The sequence below is a fragment of the Homo sapiens genome, chromosome 7 (assembly GCF_000001405.40).
Source record: "Homo sapiens chromosome 7, GRCh38.p14 Primary Assembly".
Classification (NCBI taxonomy): Eukaryota; Metazoa; Chordata; class Mammalia; order Primates; family Hominidae; genus Homo; species Homo sapiens.
In genome coordinates, this window is record NC_000007.14 from 19,771,329 (window position 1) to 19,788,905 (window position 17,577).

Sequence of the window (17,577 nt, forward strand, 5' to 3'; positions counted from 1 at the left end):
TGAACACTATTTTTCTTTTTTGTAGTTCTGCAATTTAAAAACATTTATCTCACCTGAAAAAATATATAAATCTAATTATCCAAAGCAAAATTTTGCCAGTTTCAAAAAAAAGTTACAGCATCTTTCAAAAATGAATTACTTTTGAATAATTTTTCTTGAACTCCGTAATAATCATTTTCTTTTAGTGACTTAAAGCTCAAGTGATTAAGCCATGATGGTTAAACATGCTACAGATTATCAGTGACAGAATACTTTCTATTGAATTATCTTGAAAAGTAGGATCAAGCTAGGCATCCAGAAGTATATGACACATATATAGCTTGAAGGAAAAAACTGGTTTTCACAATTAGATTCACATTAGGAATGGTGCTGAGTTATTTTATTGAATCTTGGTGGAAGAAATGGGTCTCTAAGGCTTTCTTGGAGATTCATCCTAGTAAAAAAGAAGCTTGTTGAGTCTGACATCTGACCTAGAGATAACTATGACAGTTTCTCTGAGCAGTTAGGTACTCTGTAAGCAGAATTATTCTCCATTTAGAATGTTATTACACGTCTTACCATCTGATGTTTTTCTAACTTACTGTCTAGAACTTACAAAAGCGTTTTCAGAGGTGAAATATCAGAAATGTAGCAAAGGAAAATTAACAGCAATGTTTTCTGGAATGAAATGCACCCACAAACTTCCTTTCACACTCACACCACGTTTCTGTTTTTGTTATTGGTGTTGCCTCTGGTGTACCTTGGGCATTATTGCCCAGGGATAAATGCATAACTATCCCTGCTTGTTCCCTGATACAAAAAAATGATGGAATACTCTTATTTTGATTTTCCTTGTAGAAGGAACAAAAGATTAAGTGAGCCTGCCCTTGACAGGTGTGACACCCCCCTCCCCCCGCCTCCCAAACAGCACCACTGGGCAAAGCAGCCTTTTGTAGAATCAGCCAGTGGAAACTAACCCCCCACCCCCACCTTTAAACAAAGCCATTTAATTTGGTCTTAAGCCCAAGTAAGAAACAAAACAAAACAAAACAAAACAAAACAGAAAACGAATAAAGGACAATATAAAGAAGCATAGCTTGTCAGCATGAACCTACATGCAAGCCAGAGATCTATGATTTTGTTTCCCAGGGAGGGAGTGACTAATGCGCGCACCCTGACCATCACCGTAAAGAGGTAAAGAGAGAGTGAAATGGCTCAACGTACACACACCCCGCTCCATACCGGGGACGAGTCTCCGAGCTGCGGCTTGTGCTCTCGGAGGGCCAGGCTGAAGCTGACCGCCCCCACGGCCACGCTGGACACCCCCAGCCCTATCTCCAGCACGGAGAGCACCAAGAGGCTCCCAATAATCTGACCGCTGGTGCACATCCTTCCTCGGTCATCTTCCTTCCAGATCAGAGAGGGAAATCAACCATCTACCTTTTTTTCTTCCACTATCCTCCTTACCCCTTCCACCCCCTACCAGATCCCAAAACTTTTCTTTCTTCAAGAGCGAGGCATTATCCACAAGGGCTGGATTTCCAGAAACGAAGACCTTCCCTGGCTGGGCCAGAGGCAAAGGAGCTGCTCCACCCCCTGGCACGTTCAGATAGGGATCGTAGAAGGATCTTCCTGGGTTCGGTGGTGCGAAGATTGCACACCGGTACCGGGGCTTTTAAGCAGCGGAAAACCTGGAGGAGCCCAGGGAGCTCCGAGCCTTGCTCCCCAGGCGCTGTCCAGAGTTCTGCCGCGTCCCAAATCTCCGCAGGGAAACCCGCGCCCTCCTCAGCCTACTAGACCCTTTCACAGGGTCCCTTCTGTTTTATTGCCGAGGAGAGGAGCTTTGCTTCCCGGAGATCCAAAGGGAACCGCTCCGAGTTTCTCTCTCCCTCTCCCGTTCGTCACCTCTCCTTTGTTTTCGTGGCAATGCGAAGTGCTTCTGCAAGTCTCTGGGTCCCCAGGCAGAGCGGGCGGATGATATTCAGCACCACGCTCCTTGCAGTTGCTTTGTCGCCAGAAAAAGCGACCTTGTCTGATGGCCTCTTTCCGTCTGGGTTTCTTCTCCCTCGTCGTCGTCCTCTTCCTCCTCCTTTCTCTCGAGCTGATTCTCTTTCATTGCTATGACCTCATTGGGGTTTAGGAGGTTGACGGAGGAGGAAAAAGCCTAATGTATTTGTAGATCCAGGACCAGTACTCTTGGCTGGCCTTTGATCCGCCCCGCCCCCGGACCGCAGCAACAGAAATCCAGGCGACCCCTACCTCCGCTTCTCCCCGTGGCTCCTTTCTGGGCTTCTATCCAGCGGAGAGGGGAGGCGATGCCTACGTCAACGCGGGCTCATTCTGAGAAAAACTTTCTTTAGCTTGTACGCGGGGTAGGGGGAGCAGTGAGCAAAGAAAGACGGAAACCCCAGGGGGGTGGAAAAAGCCAGACTCCTAATGTCACTAGGACTCTCAAGGCCCCTCACCAAGGAACTCCCCTGTCTAGGAGAGCTAGATTCAAGCCTGCTTACAAGGAATGTCCACTCCCGGCCATCACAGCCTGTCACCTTCCGTGTCGTAGGGCGAAGAAGCAGTTGATGGGGGCCACACCTCCACGGTGATTTTGTTCCTCTCCAGCCACAGACCCTTGCTTTCCCCTAGGAGCGTGACCACACGTTCTGGGAGGCATAGCTAGACCCAACTGAGCTGGGATTATATATTCTCAACAAAATTCAAGAGATGTGTATGCATTAGAACAGGCATTATTTAAAAAAAAAACACGTCTGGCTTAATGCACAATTATTTTTGACAGTCTACTTTCATCAGAATCTTTAGGGCAGGGGCCAGTCCAGCTTGGCCTGGGATATTTTTGCATTGTCTTTTGATGCCTATGAGACTCTAGATGTCTAGGGATCGCTGTGTTTAGACCCCATTTTCATTACTCTAGTTTTATGAAAAATCTCAAGGTATTCTATCAAGGAGATCTAGGAAGTGGGATAAAGAGAGGGTTTTGGGTGTGGGTCATCTTTCTCAAAAACTGGGTTCTCCAGTTCGACATGGACTGAAGGAAAATAGAACAAAGGAAGATGAGGTTAGGGTACAATAACACAAGACTAGGGAATGTTGACTTCTATACATCAGTGCAGTGCAGGCGCCTCTATTAGAGGCTTCTTAAAGCTCCCATGATGAGAACATAAAAGCTCGGTGACCTATAGCATAAGTTCTGTAACATAAATGCCAGTTTCAGTTTTCTTAAATTTGATTAAGGGCTTCTTTTAGAGTTTAAACTCAATTCTACACTATAATTTTTTTCATATGTTTATATTCTATAATTTAAAAATTTGAATCCTTTTCTCTTAAAAATAAAACAAATGTAAGGAAGAAGAGTTACAATTTGTTAGGCCTTAAAGAGCTTCAGTTATTGTGATATTTGGAGTACAAATAAACATTGGTACTGAATGATAATTAGTGGATTCATTTCTATGCTTTTAAATCCTCAAAGACATGCTAAAGTACCTCATTAGTGTATGGCTTTAATGATGTAAAGTTTATTTAATTTAAATAATACAGAAGTCATCTAAATGATCCAATTTATATGCATAAATAATACAGCATATATGTTGTTGAAGTTTTGCTTTGTGTTTAGTCACTTCTTTTCTTTAGGAAAAAAATGCTTCTCTGTTAGGAAGACAACAAGTTGTAATATTAAATGAATTGATTAATGGAGACATATAGGAAGGGAAATAAACTTTTGTAGAGAACACAGGGATGGTATTAACAATAGTTGAATTTCACAGAGAAAAAGAAACAAACAAAACATATATTGCGGTTAACATTTTATCTCTGAATGTGATGGCTTGGAATATAAGATTGGTTATCATATGCCTGATAAAAACCAATCCTGATTGATTCTGGGTCATTGGTTAGAAATCCAAAACTTTTGATTTTGTATATGGAAGAAATTCAACTCATCTTCACATAAGTAACTAACAATAATTCACAATAAAACAAATATTTTTACAAATAAAAACAATTATTTTCTATAGAGGAAACTGCTGTTTTGAGTTTTAAAACATGAGCATCAGTGTTAAAATTTTCAAAAAAAATTACGTTATCTTTATTGGGACACAAAGGATATTTTTTGTGCCTTTTAAATATCATGTAATGATCCTCCTAAGATAAATCCAAATACACCTAAAATTTCCTCCTAAATACAGAAATCAAGAAAAAAGAGTTCAAACTGACAAATTATTTATGATTCTTATTATAATTATCCCTCCAAATTATTTGCTAGACAAATAATTATAGGGTAAAAACTATAAATCAAGAAAAAATCATATGAAGCACACCACTATCCAAATACCAGTAGCTCCACAATTTCTGAATTTGATTTTTCTAACGCTGTAGTACACCAAAAGAGCTATTCATGAGATCCATTGATAGATAATTCAATATTTCCACAACTTTGGCAAGAGCAATAGCACAAAAAATCTCAAGTTTGCCATCTGCTGGCTTATGCATGATACAAGTGAATGTGAGTAGCCTCAAAATAATTCTTATTAGATGCCTTAATAAAAGAAAACATCTTTATAGTGGCTAACTTTAAGGACCTAAGCACTTCCAGTAAATATTCAAGAATTCTGAGGTTCTCTCATTCACCCATTTACCCAAATTAGATTATGGAAATTTTAGTATCTGGATGAAGGAAAATCCAGGAATGGGTAGACAGTACACTAATGTCTCCTGTCTTAATATAATAAAGTAAGTTGACAAAATCATCAATGCTGCCACATTAATATAGAGTTATTGAAAAAGCTAAAAATGTGAAATGATTAATTTTAAGATCTGATTTAATGTATCTAAGCTATTATAAGCAAAATTTATATGGTGGTCGTGGGCACTGGGCTGAATTGCCAATGCAGTACAAAAAATTAGAAAAAGAAAAATCATAAAATTTTTAGTAGTTCAATCATTTAGCTAGAAGTTCATCTAATATTTAATACTCTTGTCAGTGTAGTTAAAAAATATTGGATCTACCCAGGATTTGATGGAGTAGTTAGTTTTGCTAAAACAGAAAAATAGCCCACATCTGGAGTTTTTATTTTTTATTTAATGGTCAAGAAACAGAGATAATAAAACCTGAATTTATCTTCTGCCTTTTCTTGGCTTTTAGTAATAATGTAGCTCAGAAGTCAGTATCCAATAGTAACTTCAGTGCTTGTGGAAATTAATCAAAGAAAGTGTCATATTGAATACTATATTTAGCACGTTTTCTCATTTATGTTCAAAATAGTTTCTGATTATTAATAACCTGTAAACATGCAAACAAACGGATAGTTTATAGTAAATTCTAATGTTTCATGAAATGTATGGGTATTTCCACTCCTGGCCATTATAAAGAAAGGTGGACTGGACTTACTCTCCAACTGCATACAAAATATAATAGTGTTCAGATACTGCATAGCAGGCAGCACAGAACTGTGATCCTTGGTAAGAGAGTAACAAGGTTTGCTGTGCTTGTTTTCTTACAACAGGCCCTTAATATATAATGATCCAGGAAGAAGGGTGCCAGGCAGAGAATGGTGGGCTTACAAAATGTCAGAGACAAATGGCAGAGTTCTTGGGGGCTGAGTGTTGTGGATTGCATGTTTGTTTCCCCCCTTTCCCCACACTCAGATGTTGAAACCCTAAACCCCAATGTGATGGTATTAGGAGGTGGGGCCTTTGGGAGGTAATTAGGTTTGATGAGGTCATGAGGGTGGAGCTTCCATGACGGAATTAGTTTTCTTAGAAGAGGAGAAAGAGTTTAGTGTTCACTCTCTACCATGTGAGGATACAATGAGAAGACGGCAGACCAGCAAGTGGGCCCTCACCAGATACCAAATCTGCTGGCACCCTGATCTTGAATTTCTCAGATTCCAGGACTGTGAAAAGTAGGTTTTTGTTGTTAAGTCATCCAGTCCATGGTATGTCGTTATAGCAGCTCCAACTGACTGAGACATTGAGATAGCCAAAATTTTCAGGAAGATGAGGGTATTTCACAGAAAGAGAGACCCATAAATCTTCATAAGGATTCCTCGAGCCTGTTGCTAAATTCCAAGCCACAAAATTGTAGGGTGCAATTCCACAGGGCTGTATAAAAGTATTTGAAGTGATAATAATGGTCAATTATTTTCCAAATTTGGTGAAAACTACAAACCCATAGGATACACACAAATTATTTCAGATAGGATAACCTCACCAAAGCATATCACAATTAAAGTGCTGGAAACCAATGATAAGGATTAAAACTTAAAAGCAGCCAAAAGAAAAAGGACACATTAGGTAGATAGGAACAAAGGCAACAATTCTAGACTTCTAATCTGAAATTATTCAAGCCAGAGAACAAGTGAGTAACATTTTAAAGTAATGAAATATTTTTTAAAACCAAAGAAACCCAAAAACCTATTAATCTAGAATTATATGCCTAGCAAAAATAACTTAAAAATAAAAGGGAAACAGACTTCTTCAGACTAAAAAAAGCTGAGAGAATTTTCTAACGTAAGATATTCACCATAAAAGTTGTTGAAATAGGCTGGGCGTGGTGCCTCATTCCTATAATCCCAGCACTTTGAGAGGCTGAGGTGAGTGGATCATTTGAGGTCAGGAGTTTGAAACCAGCCTGGCCAACATGGTGAAACCCCTTCTCTACTAAAAATACAACAATTAGCTGGGCGTATTGGTGGGCGCCTGTAATCCCAGCTACTCTGCAGGCTGAGGCAGGGAGGCGGAGGTTGCAGTTAGCTGAAATCATGTCACTGTACTCCAGCCTGGGTGACACAGTGAGACACCCTCTAAAAAAAAAAAAAAAAGGTTGTTAAAATAAATATTTTCAAACAATTAAAATATACCAGAAGAAAACTTAGACTTACACAAAAGAATGCTGAATATCATAAAGGTACATATATGGGTAATTGTAAACAATATTTTCAACTTATTTATTTAATAAATAATTGGCTGCATAAAGAGAATATAATAACATATTTTGGAGTTTATAACACATTTATAATTAATTTATGACACCAATAGCACAGTCAATAGAAAGAACAAGATAGACGGTTGTAAGGTTCTTATATTATAATATTATTTCAAATTAGTTGTGATAAGTTAAAGATGCAATTATCAGCCCTAAGCTAGAGCAACTACTAAGCAATGATGATAAAAAGAAACACAGAAAATTAGCTAAAAATGGAGATGAATACTAGACATTACTATATTGATTTAAAGAAGGAATGAAAAAAAGAACAAAGAATAGTTGGGACAAATAAAAAACAAATATCAAGATGATACGATCAACCCTGACCATATCAATAGTTACAATGAAACAAGTAGTTTTACCATTCTAATTAGAAGGCAGTGATAATAACGGGGGAGCTATACAAGTAACTCCCCAACTCTGTGGTTTGCAGTCTAGGCCTAGATGCAGGCTGTATAATGGCAACCAGCCATGGCAGGGCCATGGCATGGAGTCTTTCTGGCTGGGATAACCAGGAAATTGAATCTGGACAACGGTCAATGCCTCTGAGAATAGGGAACACTTGTAAAGGAAGAAACCACAGAATAGATCTCCAATCTTTGGTAGACCCCTGCACTGCACATGTATGTAACTGGCTCGAAGACGTAAACTGAGACCAGAATTTCTATGTAAGAAACAGAATCTGCAGTTCCAGCACAACCAAGAAAATTAGTAGCTAAAACAAAATAAATTATGTTTACTAGAGAAAAATGAGAGAATCAAGAATCTTCACAACTTAACATTTATAATATCCTAGGCATAATAAAACATTGTTCAACGATGAACCAAGAAAACAGACAATATTTTCAAGAGAAAATATTGATTCTGACCACAAAATAAACCACATTTTGGAACTAACAAATAAAGATTTTAAGAGAGTAATTATAACTATCCTTAATGAATTAAAACAGAATATTTTTTCAACCAATTAATATTTCAGCAGAGAACTGGGAAATGTTAGCAGGTAATAAAAGCAATAAAAATAGCCAAATGGAGATTCTAGAAGTTAAAAATATGTTTGGATATTAAAAAAAAAATCAAAGAACAAAATACACTGGAAGGGTTTCACACTTAAAAGGACATGGCAAAGAAAAAGTAAGTTTAAAAGAAAGAGTAAGTTAATCTGAAAATACATCAGTAAAAATTAACAACTGTAATAAACAAGACATTTTAAAAATGAATAGAGTTGGGGCATTACTTGTATAGCTCCCCCCTTTACTATCACTGCCTTCTAATTCCTGCCACTCTAGGGTTTACCATTGAGTAAAGGTCATATTCCTGACCTTTCATCTTTTCATATCTCCTTCAAACTGTATGCTTATCTTAGGGCAGGCACAAGATTTAATAGATTTTATTCATTTCATTGGTGCACAGAGAATTTGTAGTTATCAGAATTTTGGTTTCAAGGGTCCTCCTCCTGTTCAATTAGTTTTCTTACAACTAAAGTATCTGGCCAGGGACACATCTCAGATATTGCAGAGATTTAGATGATACATGTCTTGCTATATCACGTCAAAGCTTCTTTCCTATGTTGTTTAGAATTTTAAGATGACACTAACTTAGGACTCACTGAACAAATACTTAATAAACATTTATGGTACAAATATATGGAAAAATAAAAGGAAAAAGGAAACTGATGAAAAAATAAGCAAGAGAAATGTTATTTTTAAAATACTTTATCCACTTCAATTTTATAAACTACTTGTATTTAACTACAACACTTCAAATCAGCATGATTCCCCTCCCTGTCTTTTTCACTTATTCATTTAAAGACAAAATGTAAAGGCAAATTATAACCTGAAAAAATTTGAGACATTTATGACAAAATCTTATTCTTCACACACAAGTAGCTATTTCAAACCCAAAAGAAAACAACCTGATGGAAAATATAATGAACAGGAAATTTTCATACTCAAAGAAAGTATTAAAAATGGCCAATGAACATGTTAGAAAATGATAAGACTCTGTAGTAAACAAAAAGTGTAATCAGTCACAACTTCTCTTATTGGACCAAAAATATGAATTTTAAAAGAATAATTAGTGTTATGACAAAGTAAAATGGTTGTTCCCAAAAATACTATTGGAAATGTAAATGATAACATTTAAAATATATATTTAGCAATCTTCATCAAGAGTATTGAAAATGTGTACACACTTTGACTCAGGAATTTTTTCTCATTTTTATTCTAATACACTTTTTCATTTATGATTCAGAGTTTAAATATAGAAATGTGTATAACAGTGTTATTTAAAAAAATAAAAATCAGCCTAAGTTTCCAATTAAAGTCTAATGTTGAGATAAAGAATGGTAAAACTATAAAATAGAATAATTTAGTCATTAAAATTTACATTTTAAAATCATGTGTTATCTAGCTATAACAATTCAAAAATATTTTTAAAGCCATACATGTTTTATTTATGCATGTAAACAAAATAATCTTCATATTCTTTAACAGTATGAATATAAAGAACACTGTAAGAAGTTACACACTCATTAGTGCATTAGATGGTGATTATAATTTCCTTTTCTCTTTTATACATTCTGTACTTTTCAACTTGTGAACAAAAAACGTGATTTTTAATTAAAAAATGTCATATAACTGAAACAAAAAATAAAAAGCACAGCAATCTGGAATTGTTTAATGTTGGTGGAAAAATGTCTATGAATCTCAATATCTCATGAGAACTTCATTATATTAAAATGTAATTCAAAATTTAAGTTAATGATAATGCTTGAAAATTAAAGTTTTCTATTTTTATTATTAAAATTTTTATTAGTTTTTTATTTTATTTTTATTTATATTTTTATTTATTAACTTCTATTATAGGTTCAGGGGTACACGTGCAGGTTTGTTATACAGGCAAATTGCATATCATGGGAATTTGTTGTATAGATTATTTCATCACCCAGGTAATAAGCATAGTGCCCAATAGCTAGTTTTTTGATCCTTTCCCTCCTTCCACCATTCACCCTCAAGTAGGTGCTGGTGTCTGTTGTTCCCTTCTTTGTTTCCATGTGTATTCAATTTTTGTCTTCCATTTATAAGTGAGAACATGCAATATTTGGTTTTGTGTTCCTGTGTTAGTTCACTTAGGATAATGGCTTCTAGCTCCATCTATGTTGATGCAAAGGATATGATCTCATTGTTTTTCATGGCTGTGTAGTGTTCCATGGTGTGTGTGTACCACATTTGCTTTATCCAGTCCACCACTGATAGGCATATATAGGTAGATTCCATGTTTTTAATATTATTAACAGTGTTGTGATAAAGATATGCATGCAGATGTATTTATGGTAGAACAATTTATATTCCTTTGGGCATATACCCAATAATGGGATTGCTGGATCAAAGAGTATGTCTGTTTTAAGTTCTTCAAAAAATCTCCAAACTGAATTACACAATGGCTGAACTATTTACATTTCCACCAGAAGTGTATAAACATTCTCTTTTCTCCACAACCTTACCAGCATCAGTTATTTTTTGACATTTTAGTAATAGCCATTCTGACTGGTGTGAGATAGTATCTTATTGTAGTTTTGATATGTATTTCTCTACTGATTTTTATCTTGAGTATTTTTTTATATGCTTGTTGGCTGCTTATGTCTCTTCTTTTGAAAAGTATCTGTTCATATACTCAGCCCAATTTTTAATGTGATTGTTTATTTGCTTCTTCATTTGTGTATGTTCCTTATAGATTCTGGATATAAGACCTTTGTCAGATGCATACTTTGCAAATATTTTCTCTCATTCTACAGGTTGTCTGTTTACTCTGTTTATAGTTTCTTTTGTTGTGCAGAAGCTCTTTTGTTAATGAGGTCTCATTTGTCAACTTTTGTTTTTGTTGAAATTGCTTTTGATATCTTCATCATGAAATTTTTGCTAGGTTCTATGTCCAGAATAGTATTTCCAGGGTTTTAATAGTTTGAGGTTTTCTATTTAAGTTTCTGACCATCTTGCATTAATTTTACGGTGTAAGAAGGGGGTCTGGTTTCAATCTGCATATGTCTAGCCAGTTATCACATCATTTATTAAATGGAGAATTCTTTCGCCATTGATTGATTTTGTTAACTTTGTCAAACATTAGATGGTTGTAGGTATGTGGCATTATTTCTGGACTCTCTATTCTGTTCCATTCGTTCATGTTCTGTTTCAGTACCAGTATCATGCTGTTTTGGTTACTGAAAACTTACACTTTGAAGTTGGGTGACATGATGCATTTAGCTTTGTTATTTTTGCTTAGGATTGCCTTAGCTATTTGGGCTCATTTTTGGTTCCATATGAATTAATTTTTTTTTCTAATTCTATAAAGAATGTCATTGGTAATTTAATAAAAATAGCACTGAATCTGTAAATTGCTTTGGGCAATATGGCCATTTTAACAATATTGATTCTATCTATGGACATGGAACATTTTTCTTTATTTGTTTGTGTCATCTCTGATTTCTTTGAGCAGAATTTTGTAGTTCTTGTTTTAAAGATGTTTCACCTCTCTGGTTAGTTGTATTCCTAGGTATTTTATTCTTTTTATGGCTATTGTGAATGGGATTGCATTCTTGATTTGACTCTCAGCTTGGAAATTCTTGTTGTATAGGAATGCTACTGATTTTTGTGCATTGATTTTGTATCCTGAGGCTTTGGTGAAGTTGTTTATCAGATCAAGGAACTTTTGGGCAGAGACTATGGAGATTTCTAGGTGTAGAATCATATCATCTGCAAAAAGATAGTTTGATATCCTCTCTTCCTAGTTAAATGCCCTTTATTTCTTCCTCTGGCCCGATCGCTCTGGCTAGGACTTCCAGTATGTTGAATGGGAGTGGAGAGAGAGGAAATTTTTGTCTTGCTCTGGTTTTCAAGGGGAATGCTTCCAGCTTTTGCCCACTCAGGATGATGTTGGCCATGGGTATTTCATAGATGGCTCTTATTATTTTGTGGTACATTCCCTGAATGCCTAGTTTGTTATGAATTTTTAACACGAAGGGACCTAATTATTAAAAGCCTTTTCTTCTTCTATTGAGATGATCATGTGCTCTTTGTTTTTAGTTCTATTTGATGAATCATGTTTATTGATTTACATATGTTGATCCAACCTTACATCCAAGGGATAAAGTCTGCTTGATCAAGGTGAACTTATTTTTTAATGTGCTGTTGGATTTGGTTTGCTAGTATATTGTTGAGGATTTTTGTATTGATGTTCATCAAGGATATTGGCCCTGAAATTTTCTTTTTTTGTTGTGTTTCTGCCAGATTTTGATATCAGAATGATTTAGGCCTCATAGAATGAGTTAAGGAGGAGTCCCTTCTCCTTGATTTTTTGTTATAGTTTCAGTAGTTTCCAGTTCTTTATGCATTTTGTAAAATTCAGCTGTCATTCCATCTGGTTCAGTGCTTTTTCTGGTTGGTAGGCTTTTTATTGCTGATTCAGTTTCAAAACTCATTACTGGTCTGCTCAGGGATTCAAATTATTCATGACTCAATCTTAGGAGGTTGCATGTTTCCAGGAATTTATCAATTTCTTCTAGGTTTTATAGCTTGTGTGCATATACATGTTCATAGTAGTCTCTGTTTTTTTAAATATTTCTGTAGCATCAGTGGTAACATCCCTTTGTTATTTCTAATTGTGTTTATTTGGATCTTCCCTCTTTTTTTATTAGTCTAACTCACAGTCTATCTATCTTACTTGTTCTTTCAAAGAACAAACTCCTAGCTTCATTGATCTTTTGACTCTGAATTTTCTTCAGTTCAAAGATTGAAGGAATATCATCCCACACAGATGAGAAAGAACCAGCAAAAGAACCCTGGCAACTGAAAGAGCCAGAATGCCTTCTTACCCCCAAACAATTACCCTAGTTCCCCAGCAGTGGTTCCTAACTAGGCTACAATGGCTGAAATGATATAGGATTAATAACATGGATAGGAAGGGAGATCTTCAAGATTCAGGAGAAAGTATAAACCCAATCCAAACATTCTAAGAAATAAAATAATACAGGAGGTGAAAGATGAAATGGCTATTTTAAGAAAGAGCCAAACTGATCTGATAAAGCTGGAAAACTCACTTTATGAATTTCAGATACAATTGTTAAGTATTAACAGGAGAACTAACCAAGTTGAGGAAAGAATCCCAGAGCTCAAAGACAAGTTCTCTGAAATAACTCAGTCAGAAAACAAAAAAGACTAAACAAGAACGAACAAAACCTCTGAAAAACACGGGATTATGTATAGAGACCAAATCTACAACACATTGGCATCCCTGAAAGAGAAAGAGAGAAAGCAAGCCACTTGCAAAACATGTTTCAGGATATTGTACATGAAAATTTCCCTAGTCTCAACAGAGAGGCTAACATTCAAATTCAGGGAATACAGAGAACCTCTCTGAGATACTATACAAGACAATCATCCCCAAGACACATAGCCATCAGATTCTCCAAGTTTAAAATGAAAGAAAAACGTTAAAGGCAGCTAGAGAGGAGGGACAGGTTACCTACAAAGGGAACCCCATCAGACTGACAGTACATCTTTCAGCAGAAACCCTGCAAACCAGAAGAGATTGTAGGCCTATGCTGGGCATTCTCAAAAAAAAAAAATAAATCCCAACCAAGAATTTCATATCCAAACTAAGCTTCATAATTGAAGGAGAAATAAGGTTCTTTTCAGAAAAGCAAGTGCTAAGGGAATTCTTTACCACTAGGAAAGGAAAGACTGTTACCGGCTACCACAAAAAAAACAAAAACACACTTAAGTACATAGACCCTTGACACTATACAGCAATCACACAAACAAGTCTGCATAATAACCAGCTAACAACATGATGACAAGGTCAAATCTGCATACATCAATATTAACCTTAAATGAAATGCCCCAATTAAAAGGCACAGGGTGGCAAGTTGAAAAAAGAAGAACGACCCAACTGTTTGCTGTCTTCAAGAGACTCATCTCACACGCAATTACACTCATAAGCTCAAAGTGAAAAGATAGAGAAAAATCTACCACGCAAATAAAAAAATAGAAAATTCAGGCCAGGCGCAGTGGCTCATGCCTGTAATCCCAGCACTTTGGGAGGCTGAGGCAGGTGGATCACCTGAGGTTAGGAGTTCGAGACCAGCCTCAACGTGGAGAAACACCATCTCTACTAAAAATACAAAATTAGCTGGGCGTGGTGGTGCATGCCTGTAATCCCAGCTACTCAGGAGGCTGAGGCAGGAGAATTGCTTGAACCTGGGAGGCGGAGGTTGTGGTGAGCCAAGCTTGTGCCATTGCACTCCAGCCTGGGCAGCAAGAGTGAAACTGTCTCAAACAAACAAACAAACAAACAAACAAACAAACAAACAAAAAATTCAGGGGTTGCTACTCTAATTTTGAACAAAATAGACTTTAAATGAGCAATGGTCAAAAAAGACAAAAGAAAGGCATTACATAATGGCAAATGGTTCAATTCTACAAGAAAACCTAACTATCCTAAATATAATACACCCAATATAGGAGAACCCAGATTCATAAAGCAAGTTCTTAGAAACCTATGAAGAGACTTAGATAACCATGAAATTGTAGCGGGAGACCTCAACATCCTAATGACTATATTACAGATTTCATTGAGGCAGAAAACTGACAAAGATATTCAGGACCTGAACTTGACACTTGATTAAATGGACCTAATAGACATCTACAGAACACTCTACTCAAAATTTTGAATACATATTCCTCTCAACTTCACATGACACATACTCTAAGATCTACCACATAAAATATAAAACCACCCTCAGCAAATTAAACAACACTAAAATCATACCAACCACACTCGCAGACCACAGTCCAACAGAAATAGAAATCAATACTAAGAAAATTGCTCAAAACTATATAATTACATCAAAATTAAACAACCTGCTTTTGAATGATTTTTGAGTAAGAATGAAACTAAGACAGAAGTTAAGAAATTGTTTGAAACTAATGAGAACAGGATACAACATACTAGAATCTTTGGGACACAGCTAAAGAAGTGTTAACAGGAAACTTTTCAGTACTAAATGCCCACATTAAAAAGTTAGAAAGATCTCAAATTAACAACCTAATGTTGCAACTAAAGGAACTAGAGAAAAAAGAGCAAACCAACCCCAAAGCTACCAGAAGACATGAAATAAAAATCAGAGCTGAATGGAAATTAAGGTTATATTGTGTTTAATTTGCCTAGTTTAAGAAGCCAGGGAAATAAATGAAAAGTTTTAAAAATTTTCTTTATTAGAAATCTTTAAGCTTTAAAAAATATGTATTCTTTTGCCATTAAGGAAGGATAAAGAATATGGACAATCCAATAATGTTTAAAGCTCATTCCTCCACTGACAGGCTGTAACTGTGTTAGATCATATGCCATAGGGTTAAATACTCATAAAGTTTCTGCAGATTTCAATGAAAGCTTTTTATGCTCAGCCAATACTATGTTCTCTTAGCACATATGCCAACTACTGGGAGTAAATAAGAAACACAGAAGTACTATTGACGTTTTTTCAGGTAATTGATACATGATAAAAATAATTATTTTATTTAACTTTCTACATATTCAATTAGCAAAATCCCAAAAAATAAAACTTTTGCATTTCCTTGATAACTTAGGAATGGTTCTTAGTCTAGATCTTTGTACGTAGCCAATGGTGCTTAAAAGCTGTAGTTTTATTGATGGACTTGACAGTTTTATTGTCTATAATTGTAGAAAATTTAAATAAGCAGGTCAGATTTATTTGGAGAAGCCTAGGTTAGGAGATAGATACTATATAATGCAAAAACAAGTTTGATTAAAATATTTTTTCTTTTGAGTTATTCTAATTAGTAAATGCACACCTACACATCAGATCTTAATGGGGTGATATAGTGGGCTCAGACCCTAAAAACCTATTCTGAGAAGTGCAGGATAAGACCGATTCATGAAACAATATTGAATATAAGCAAGATGTAGTATTTATGGAGTGCTTACTATGTAGCAGATACTATTCTAAAAATGGAGGATAACACATAAGATAGAAAATGTTTCCTAGGCAGTTTTCATTCTGTGGGTGATTCATGCAACAAAAAAGTAAAGAAATAATTTATGATGTAATTTCAGATGGCAAAGTAAATTAAACCAAAGTATGAGAATGAAGAAGTGATAGATGATTATTTTAGATAGAACATCAAGCAGGTGACACATGATCAGAGATAATTCAATGAAGTGAGTGTGTGAACCATAGGAAGAATTGAGGAAAAAAGATGGCAGGCAAAGGACCGAAAGGAGTATTGAGTATTTCTAAAATGGGTAAAACTTTATGAGTTTGGGGGAAAGTAGTTGAAAATGAGATTGAATAAATAGGCAGAGATTAGATTATTTAAGGCCATTTGACTATGATAATGTTTTAGTTAATTCTAAGTAGGTAGATTAGAGGGTTTTGAGAAGAGGAGTAGTACTATCTGATTTACATTTTAATTAAATCAGTCTGCTAATCTGCTGGCTGTAGATATAACTGTAGCGAGATGGAGTGGGTTTAGGTGCAATAGGAGTCTACTACAATTATAAGGCAAGTCTTGGACTACAAATGCAGTATTGGAAGTGGTGAGAAGTGCATTTTGACAATATCATACAATGAAGAATCTGAATTTTTAAAAAAATATATAGTATTCAACTGCATTCTTCTTATATAGTGTTGGATTGAAAACACTGAAACCATGTCAAAGAACTGAACAGGAGATAATTAGGAAGAGTGGCTCTTGTAATAGCCTAAGGCAAAGATTTGTACTAATGTGTAATTGCTTTGCAGCATAGTCAATGTGTTACACATGTGCCAGCAAATATTTGCCTTCTCAGTCTTTACAGTGGTTTGTGGGGTGGAGTGTAGTGTGAATGAAGACCCTCCTTCATCACCTTATCACCTTTCCCATACCTACTGATGGATACTTCCCACTGTGGGTTGCAATCTACAGTCACCACAGGCAGCAGAGTATTCAGTATTACCTAGTATTTACTGCTATCCTCTGTGGTACTGAGCATTGCCAAGAAGGTGCTCTGTCTTTTGGGAATCTATTTAAGTAACCAGCTACAAACATACTTCATGGAGAAAAGTGGCCTGTGACAGAATGCTAAGGGGACTAAGAATCACTGAAGCACCATAAGGTGATAGAGTCAAATGTACAAAAGGAGGAGGTGGCCAGGTAAAGTTATCTGGAGGGTGTATCTTAGGGGTAGTGCTGAACCTCTGTCTTCCCATTTACTGGAAAATTATTATGTGACCTTTGTGCCCTTTTAGTGTTATGCAAGCCAGTTGCAAGCAGTTTTCCAACTAGAGATCATTATTGGGAAACATTTGATACCAAAAAATCAGCTTGAATTTGAAGAGCATTCACATTATCATAAGAAATTTAAGAATGCTTGTGATTTTTGTACATTGATTTTGTATCCTGAGACTTTGCTGAAGTTGCTTATCAGCTTAAGGAGATTTTGGGCTGAGACAATGGGGTTTTCTAGATATACAAACATGTCATCTGCAAACAGGGACAATTTGACCTCCTCTTTTCCTAATCGAATACCCTGTATTTCCTTCTCCTGCC

The 17,577-nt window shown here is 35.9% G+C and overlaps 1 protein-coding gene and 1 long non-coding RNA gene across 9 annotated transcripts in view; one reads left to right on the top strand and one right to left on the bottom strand.

Moving 5' to 3' along the window:
- TMEM196 (transmembrane protein 196) overlaps positions 1-2,289 on the bottom strand; it is a 54,303-nt gene extending 52,014 nt beyond the window's left edge. For 3 of the 8 annotated variants that reach the window (NM_001366626.1, NM_001366625.1, XM_017011928.3), the window contains exon 1: positions 1,204-2,289. In NM_001366626.1, the coding sequence (NP_001353555.1) occupies positions 1,204-1,368 (165 nt within the window). In that variant the 5' untranslated portion in view covers positions 1,369-2,289. The remainder of the gene's footprint in view (positions 1-1,203) is intronic. The other 5 variants (NM_001366628.1, NM_001366627.1, NM_001363562.2 and 2 more) reach the window with 3 other exon arrangements.
- The window catches only part of LOC107986774 (uncharacterized), a 92,330-nt gene that overhangs the window by 49,311 nt on the left and 25,442 nt on the right, over positions 1-17,577 (top strand). The gene's annotated exons all lie outside the window — the stretch shown is intronic.